Here is a 9874-nt window from a genome sequence, read left to right on the forward strand (position 1 = left end):
TGAACATATGTTCTGTGCTACCCTTTGCTTATTTGCGGAACTGTGAGGCTAGTTCGGTACTTCTGCATTTCAGAATGGGAAGAGGTGATCATAAATGGGTTTTCCCCTTCCTGCCCTCCTTCTTTGAAGCCAAGTACAACCAAAATGTGCTCTAAGTTTGTCAAACCTGATGTTTTTCTGACAATTCATCTTCCACGAATAGTGAGCTGCCTGTCAGTTTGCGCAGGGAGATGTTATGGCTTAAAAACAAAAACGAGGCTGGGCGCAGTGGCTCACGTTTGTAATCCCAGCTGTTTGGGAGGTATTGATGGGTGAGGCCATTCTTCACATTACCATAGTTGTGTTACTTGGCAAAGACCTGTCCGCTGCTTCCACCTTCAGCTCCAGTCCCTGATACACACTTTAATGACATATGCCAAACAGCTCAAATTGGGGGCGGGGGGTGGGGCGGGGGAACAGGAGTAAACTACTGGTCTGGTTAAAAGCTGGTTATTTATCAGGAGACCTGACCTATGTTTCCCTTCATCTTCGTCTTCTGATTGCCAGACAACTGGTGGGACTTCTTTTGGTTGGATAAACTACTTTGTCTATAGTAATTCAAATTCTGGCATACAAAGAAACCATATTTATGAGTGTCGATTCTCACAAAATAGGCCTCTGCTTCTGAGTAGTCTATTCCACTCTATGTGCTAAATTGGCCTCAATCAGGAGCATAGGAATTCGTGCAAATATCAGACCATATGAAATCATAGCCCTCCGGCCAGGAGCCTAGGCCATAGCAGCTTGTTGCTCTGCTGACCCTGGTGTCTGATCCCAGCCAGTGGCCTTAAAAAAACAAGAAACGAAATAAATCATGTATTTTCGATACATAATTCATGCCTGCAATTTATGCTGTATTTTCTTTTTTTTTTTTTTTTTTTTGAGACAGAGTCTTGCTCTGTTGCCCAGGTTGGAGTGTTGTGGCGTGATCTTGGCTCACTGCAACCTCCGTCTCCCTGGTTCAAGCAATTCTGCCTCAGCCTCCAAATTAGCTGGGATTACAGGTGCCCGCCATGACGCTCAGCTAATTTTTTTGTATTTTTAGTAGAGACAGGGTTCCACCATGTCAGTCAAGCTGATCTGGAACACCGGACCTCAGGTGATCCACCCTCCTCGGCCTCCCAAAGTGCTGGGATTACAGGCATGAGCCACCGTGCCTGGCCTTATTTTCTTTTCTAAAACTATATATAATCAGTTTCTGTGAAAAGAATAAATAGTTTGCGTTCATGGGAAAAAATAAACTTTCTTGAGCATTATTCTTTATCATTTTGAAGGATATTTTTCACTTCCGATTCATGAATACCAGTAGTCTCAATTTGTAGTGTAATTGATTAAATCTTCCTCTGAACTATTATATCATATTTGTTTTTCCTTCTATCGGTAGTTTTCTTTTAGAGCATTCTATCTATGAGCTTTGGAATTTGGTTCATTTAATTTGGTTGTCTACTAAGAAACAATAATAATCTGATTAAATAATAATCCATTATTATTTAAATGTCTTTGAGATTACAGTCTCTTTCAGGAAAGAGTAAAGAATTAAAGTTGGCCGGACACAGTGGCTCATGCCTGTAATCCCAGCACTTTGGGAGGCCGAGGCGGGCAGATCATCTGAGGTCAGGAGTTCAAGACAAGCCTGACCAACATGGTGAAACCTCGTCTCTACTAAAAATACAAAAATTAGCCGGGCATGGTGGCACCTGCCTGTAATCCCAGCTACTCAGGAGGCTGAGGCAGGAGAATCACTTGAACCCTGGAGGCAGAGGTTGCAGTGAGCTGAGACCGTGCCACTTGGGCAAAGACTTCATCTCAAAACAAACAAACAAAAAAAGAATTAAAGTTTTTTGAGGAAGAGTGGGAGGAGGGAGAGGAGCAGAAAAGATAACTGTTGGGTACTGGGTTTAATACCTGGGTGATGAAATAATGGGTACCACAAACCCCCATGACACGTGTTTACCTGTGTAACAAACCTTCACATGTACCCTCAAACCTAAAATAAAAGTTAAAAATTTTGTAAAAAAGAAAAATAAAAATATAACTTATAATTTGGAAATATAACTGTTACTTATGTCTACATCTAAAGCATTTTTATTAATGAATGAATAAATATTTTTAAATGTTAAAAGTTTTACAATTAGTGAGAAGCCTAGCATTGAACAGGTAGAGAATTATAGATCACAACTGAAAGAATCACAAGTTTTAGTTCAAAGGGGGTCTAAGACTAGCAAGAAAATATTTTTTCAGATAACTGTAGGAAGACATTCAACTTAGAAAAAGAAAGTAGTGTTTGATAATCCAAACAAAATGTTAGTCAGGTCTCTTTAGTTAGAAAATGACTGAAATCCAGCTCAAACTCATGTGAGCAACATTTAAAAAAAAAAACAAAAAAAAGTATTGCTACCATAACCAGGAGCTATAGGGGAACTGCTGACCTCAGGTCATCCTAAAACCTGAGGATGTCAGATGATGTCAGCAGGACACTCTACAATGCCCAGCTCTTCTTTCATCTGTATTAGTTTCATTCTCAAGTATGCTTTCCTGACAACTCGGCAGAGATTACATAAGTTCACAGCAAACTGGTTTCAGTGAAAAGAGTGGCCCCCGTTCTGAGATCTCCCAAGAAAGTCCTGGGGACATCTTTGATTGTTTCAGCTTTGATGTGTACCAGTGCTAGAAATAAACGCTATAACCTAGATGACACATCGTGGTGCTCAACATTATAGTTACATAAGTGGTGAAGGTCTTTTTCACACCCCCTACAGCAAGAATTAAAAGACCATGTTCTCCTGCTGAACTCAAAACCATGAATGTAATTTCCTGGACTTGTTTAAATTGCTTGTTTCCTTACTGACTCTAAATTGCAGTATATACTTTTCTGCCTTTGCTTATCAGTAGGATGTCTACTTCTGAAAACTAATAATGGAATAGTTGCATTGCTCCATGTATTATTTTCCCATTTCCTTGTTCCTTTTCTGTCTTGTGACCAATCTAAATGCCTGCAATAGATAAAGCCTCTGCCAAATCACAGAGGACAGGACAATCTCACTTTCAGATTAATCCTCCTGCTAGCAGGAAATTAAGGCATTATTTGTTGCCCCACTCTTGTTGACTTTATTTCAGGACTCTTTGATGGTTTTATGCTATGAGAAAGTAAAAATCCTAAAAAATTTTTGAGCTAGAAAATAAAAAGTACAGCAATTTAGGATAAATCAACTGACAATGACATTTCAATTTGCCATCTGGGAGACACATCACTACCATACAAATAATAATGCTGGCCCCACATACTTGAGAGGGGATGAGTAGGTGTTAGCCAGATTAAAGAACTGTATGTATGAAAGACTGGAGAGGAAGTAAGCTTGATGAATTGCAAGAACTCCATTTTTGTTTTTCTTTTTTTCTGAGATGGAGTCGCACTCTGTCACCCAGGCTGGAGTGCAGTGGTGCGATCTCGGCTCACTGGAACCTCCACCTCCTGGGTGCAAGTGATTCTCCTGCCTCAGCCTCCCAAGTAGCTGGGACTACAGGCACCCACGACCACACGCAGCTAATTTTTTGTATTTTTAGTAGAGACGGGGGTTCACCATGTTGTCCAGGCTGGTCTCAAACTCCTGACCTCCCATGATCTGTCTGCCTCAGCCTCCCAAAGTGCTGGGATTACAGGCGTGAGCCACCACGCCCAGCCCCAAATATTCTTATACTATTGAGGGGAAAGGGGATGGCTTAAGAAGTAGGCAGGCCCCTGTCAACCTAAAAGGAAGAGGCTGAAACACAAAATGTGATTTAAAGAGTTTACTTGAGCCAAAGTGAGGACAGCTGCCCGGAAGACTCAGACACAAGTAAATTTGAATACGAGCTCCTTTTGGCCTTTGTTACAAGCAGGTTTTTAAAGGCAAAAAACCTGGACAGGGAGTGAGCTGATAGAAAGTTGTTTTTCAAGAATTATCATTGGCTTACAGAAATAACATTGATTAGTGATTGACTATGCATTGTTAAGCTATAGAGTATGGGGTTTAGTGTCTGGTGTGGCATTAGTAGGTAATTTATAGCTACTTGTAATAATAGTGAACAGTTTTGTGTGTGTGTGTGTGTGACCGGGTCTGGCTTTGTCGCCCAGGCTGGAGTGCAGTAGCACCATCTCAGCTCATTGCAGCCTCCACCTGCCTCAGCCTCCCGAGTAGCTGGGACCACAGACGTGCACCACCATGCCCAGCTATTTTTTTTTTTTTTGTATTTTTAGTAGAAACTTGGGGTCTCAACATATTGCCCAGGCTGGTCTTGGACTTCTGAGCTCAAGGGAGGCTCCCATCTTGGCCTCCCAAAGTGCTGGAATTACAGGTGTGAGCCACCAGGCCCGGCCACAAACAGTTTCAATAGATGAATGAGACGTGTGTCTCATTTTAATGTTTCTCTGGGCTTGATAAAGTTAAAAAACTCTGATTCATCAAATACAAGTTATTTTCTTTTATCAGCCCAAAGTAGGAGGGGCCTTCAAGATAATAGAGAGGAGTACCCCATGCTCAGTACTGGGGATACTGCAGAGAACAATACATTCAAGTCTCCTTCCTCATGGAGCATGCATCCTAATAGAAGAGGCATTCAGTTATTATTTTTTTTTCTTTTTTTTTTTTTTTTTTCCAGATGGAGTCTCGCTCTGTTGCCCAGGCTGGAGTGCAGTGGCGCCATCTCGGCTCACTGCAAGCTCCGCCTCCGGGGTTCACACCATTCTCCTGCCTCAGCCTCCCGAGTAGCTGAGACTACAGGCGCACGCCCGGCTAATTTTTTTGTATTTTCAGTAGAGATGGGGTTTCACCATGTTAGCTAGTATGGTCTCGATCTCCTGACCTCGTGATCTGCCCGCCTCGGCCTCCCAAAGTGCTGGGATTACAGGCATGAGCCACCGCGCCCGGCCTATTATTTTTTTTTTTTTGAGACAGAGTCTCACCTTGTTGCCCAGGCTGGAGTGCAGTAGCACGATCTTGGCTCACTGCAACCTCTGCCTCCCAGGTTCAAGCCATTCTCCTGCCTCAGCCTCCTGAATAGCTGGAATTACAGACGCCCGCCACCACACTCGGCTAATTTTTGTATTTTTAGTAGAGACAGGGTTTCACCATGTTGGCCAGGCCTGTCTCGAACTCCTGACCTCAGGTGATCCGCCCACCTGGGCCTCCCTAAATGCTGGGATTACAGGTGTGAGCCACTACGCCCAGCCGAGGCATTTAGTTATTTCACAAATATTTATTGAGGACATATCAACAAAGCATTATTTTAGATGCTGGAGGTGCTGCAGTCAACAGAAAAGACATAATTCCCTGCTTTCAGTTTGCAATCTTGTATCTGACAATAAATAAGTAAATAATTAAATGCTAAGAAGGAAACAAATATGGTCCTCAAAAAACACTGTGCAATCACACTTTCTATGATGATGGAAATATTCATATATCTGCATTGTTCAAAAGGGTAGCCATAGACACATATGAGTATTTGAAATGTAGTTACTAGGCCAGGCATGGTGGCTCACGCCTGTAATCCCAGCACTTGAGGAGGCCGAGGAGGGTGGATCACAAGGTCAGGAGTTCAAGGCCAGCCTGGCCAAGGTGGTGAAACCCTGTCTCTACTAAAAATACAAAAATTAGCCGGATGAGGTGGCGGGCCCCTGTAATCCCAGCTACTTGGGAGACTGAGGCAGAGAATTGCTGGAACCCAGGAGGTGGAGGTTGCAGTGAGCTGAGATGGAGCCACCGCACTCCAGCCTGGGTGATGGAGCAAGACTCCATCTCGAAAAAAAAAAAAAGAAATGCAGTTACCAAAATTGAGGAGCTGAATTTTTTTTTTTTTTTTTTTTGAGATGGACCCTTGCTCATCGCCCAGGCTGGAGTGCAGAGGCGTGATCTCGGCTCCCTGCAAACTCCACCTCCCAAGTTTCAGCAATTCTTCTGCCTCAGCTTCCCGAATAGCTGAGACTACAGGCATGCACCACCATGCCCGGCTAATTTTTTTGTATTTTTAGTAGAGATGGGGTTTCACCATGGTGGCCAGGATTGTCTTGATCTCTTGACCTCATTCATGATCCACCTGCCTCGGCCTCCCAAAGTGCTGGGATTACAGGCATGAGCCACTACACCTGGCCTGAGGAGCTGAATTTTTAAATTTTATTTAATTTTTTTCATTTTTGAGATAGGGTCTTCCTGTGCTGCCCTGGCTGGCCTCAAACTCCTGGGCTCCAGTGATTCTCCTGCCTCAGCCTTCCAAGTAGCTGAGACTATAGGCATGCACTGCAGGGCTGGCTATTTAATTCTAAATAGCAACATTCAGGCAGTATTCATTATCTAGGGGCTCATTGATGTCATCACAGGTTTTAGTTTTTTATAAACTCTGTCCTTGGCTGGGCACAGTGGCTCCCTGTAATCCCAGCACTTTGGGAGGCTGAGGTGGGAGGATCAATTTATTCCCAGGAGCCTAAGGCTACAGTGAGCTAGGATCACACCACTGCACCCCAGCCTGGGCAACAGAGCAAGATCCTGTCTAAATGAACAAACAAACAAAGAAACAAACAACACTATGTCCTGAAATTGGTTCTTCTCCTGGTTGTAAGGAAGTTCCCAACAGCTCCAGGGGTTACTCCCTTTCCATTCACAACAAAAGAAAAGAACATTCCCTCTAAAGGTCCAATTGGATCAACTTAGATCCCAAACCTACTGTGAACAAGTAATGGAATGGAGTATTAAAAGGGTAGAGTCAGCTTTCTTAGGACCACAAGGATCACAAGAAGAATATTAGAAACATTTGGAAAGACAAGGGAATAGATGTTGAGAAGGCAACACACAAATATCCGTTTTAGCCTTGCTACTCAAATTGATGTGTATAGAGTAGGGGCAGCTTCATCAACTGAAGGCTTGTTAGAACTGCAGAATTTCAGGCCCCACAACGATTGAATCAGATTTTCATTTTAAAGTTTCCAGGCTGGGCGTGGTGGCTCAAGCCTGAAATCCCAGCACTTTGGGAGGCCAAGGTGGATGGATCATCTGAGGTCAGGAGTTCGAGACCAGCCGAGCTAACATGGTGAAACCCCATTTCTACTAAAAATACAAAAAATTAGCTGGGCGCAGTAGTGAGTGCCTGTAATCCCATCTACTCAGGAGACTTAGGCAGGAGAATCATTTGAACCCAGGAGGCAGAGGTTGCAGTGAGCTGAGATCGTGCCATTGCACTCCGGCTTGGGCAACAAGAGTGAAACTCCATCTCAAAAATAAATAAATAAATAAATAAATAAATATAAAGTTTTGGCCAGGCGTGGCAAGTCAGTCTCAAACAACAAAAAAAGGGCAATATTTATCAAAGTTTAATGTGTGTAGGACTCACCTGGGGAAACTTTATTTTTTTTAATTTTTATTATTATTATTATTTTTTGAGACGGAGTCTTGCTCTGTCGCCCAGGCTGGAGCGCAGTGGCACAATCTCCACTCACTGCAACCTCCGCCTCCCGGGTTCAAGCAATTCTTCTGCCTCAGCCTCCCGAGTAGCTGGGACTCAGCCTCCCAAGTAGCTGGGACTACAGGCATGCGCCACCACGCCCAGCTAATTTTTGTATTTTTAGTGGAGACGAGGTTTCACCATGTTGGCCAGGATGGTCTCGATCTCTTGACCTCATGATCTGCCCATCTCGGCCTCCCAAAGTGCTGAGATTACAGGCATGAGCCACCATGCCCAGCCGATAAGTATTGTCTTACAATATCTAAGAGTTCTGTTGATCAGCGATGAAGTCTAGGCTAGAGATACAAATCAAAGTCATGGTTTTGGAGGAGATTACCAGGTTAAAAGAAAAAGTATACATAAAAAGACTACAGCCACAAGCCGGGAAACACTGTGACATGTATTGGCTCCATAGGGAAGGAGGAACCAGCTAAGGAGATTTAGAAAGAGTAGTTAGAGGCTGGGCATGGAGGCTCTGGGCCTGTAAACCCAGTACTTTGGGAGGCCACGGCAGTGGAATCTCTTGAGCCCAGGAGTTGGATACTAGCCTGGGCAACATAGTAAGACCTCTTCTCTACGAAATAAAAAATAAAATATTAGCTGGGCATGGTGGCACGCACTTGTGGTCCCAGCTACTGAGAAGGCTGAGGCAGGAGGATAGCTTGAGCCCAGACGGTCAAGGCTGCAGTGAGCCCTGATTGTGCCATTGCACTCCTGCCTGGGCAACAGAGCGAGAAACCCTGTCTATAAACAAAACAAAACAAAGCAAGAGTAGTTAGTAGGATAAGGAAAAAGGCCAGGTGAGCTTGGCATCCTGAAACCCGAAAGAGGGAAGGGGAGTGTTTGTGTTAAATTTTGATGAAGCTCACATACTAAAGAGACAATAATGCCGGGCGCGGTGGCTCACGCCTATAATCCCAGCACTTTGGGAGGCCGAGGCGGGCGGATCACGAGGTCAGGAGATCGAAACCATCCTGGCTAACCCCGTCTCTACTAAAAATACAAAAAAATTAGCCGGGCGTGGTGGCTGGCGCCTGTAGTCCCAGCTACTTGGGAGGCCGAGGCAGGAGAATAGCGTGAACCCGGAAGGCGGAGCTTGCAGTGAGCCGAGATCGCGCCACTGCACTACAGCCTGGGCGACAGAGGGAGACTCTGTCTCAAAATACATACATACGTACGTACATACATACATACATAAAAAGACGATAATTAGCGGGCCATGGTGATGCGCGCCTGTAATCTCAGTTACTGGAGAGGCTGAGGCACGAGAATGGCTTGAAACCGGGAGGCAAGGGTTGCAGTGAGCTGAGATCGCGCTACTGCACTCCGGCCTGGGCGACAGAGTGAGACTCCATCTCAAAAAAATAAAAAATATATATATTTTGATGAGATGTTGAGAAAGATGAAGACTGAAAAGTTTGTCTTATAGATTGGAACTTAAAGTGAAAATAATCTGCTACATTGTGGATTTTATTTTTATTATTATTATTTTTTGAGACGGAGTCTCGCTCTGTTGCCAGGCTGGAGTGCAGTGGCACGATCTCAGCTCACTGCAACCTCCACCTCCTGGGTTCAAGCGATTCTCCTGCCTCAGCCTCCCGAATAGCTGGGACTACAGGCGCGCATCACCACGCCCCGCTAATTTTTGTATTTTTAGTAGAGGCGGGGTTTCACCATGTTGGCCAGAATGGTCTCGATCTCTTGACCTCGCTATCTGCCCGCCTCGGCCTCCCAAAGTGCTGGAATTACAGGCTTGAGCCACAGCGCCTGGCCCATTGTGTGATTTGCTTCAGGTACAGTAAGCAATGCTAGGTTCCTGGTGTTGGAACAGAATCAGCATAAGACTTTGGGCTTCTCTAAGACCTTCTTTCCGTTCAGTGAGGAATTTGTATTAGGTGCTGCACTCACAGTGCCCTGCTGTTCAGAAACGTGATGGTGACAGTACTTTTTTTTTTTTTTTTTTTTTTTGGGAGACGGAGTTTCGTTCTTGTTGCCCAGGCAGGAGTGTAGTGGTGCGATCTCCGCTCACTGCAGCCTCCGCCTCCCGGGTTCAAGCGATTCCCCTGCCTCAGCCTTCCGAGTAGCTGGGATTACATGCGCCCGCCACCACGCCCAGCTAATTTTTTGTCTTTTTAGTAGAGACGGGGGTTTCACCCTGTTGGCCAGGCTGGTCTTGAACTCCTGACCTCAGGTGATACCCCCGCTTCGGCCTCCCAAAATGCGACAGTCCTATTAATTGGATTTAATCTCTTCGAATCTCCCTCTCTTGTAGGACATTTTTCTCCAAGACCAGCCCTCGATACCCTCAGCCGTCGCAAGGCAACCTCCAGCCGCCAGGGGCCGCAGTCGCGCTCCTCGCGGCCGG

General features: G+C 44.9%; 2 annotated features.

Moving 5' to 3' along the window:
• Positions 2592-2661: an enhancer, noted in NCBI's record as "active region_13135". NCBI's record gives its function as "activates an Ori minimal core promoter by ATAC-STARR-seq in GM12878 lymphoblastoid cells {active_cell/tissue: GM12878}" and the evidence as "EXISTENCE:reporter gene assay evidence [ECO:0000049][PMID:35858748]".
• Positions 9687-9736: a silencer, noted in NCBI's record as "silent region_9341". NCBI's record gives its function as "represses an Ori minimal core promoter by ATAC-STARR-seq in GM12878 lymphoblastoid cells {active_cell/tissue: GM12878}" and the evidence as "EXISTENCE:reporter gene assay evidence [ECO:0000049][PMID:35858748]".

The sequence above is a fragment of the Homo sapiens genome, chromosome 18, assembly GCF_000001405.40.
Source record: "Homo sapiens chromosome 18, GRCh38.p14 Primary Assembly".
In the NCBI taxonomy this organism is placed as follows: Eukaryota; Metazoa; Chordata; class Mammalia; order Primates; family Hominidae; genus Homo; species Homo sapiens.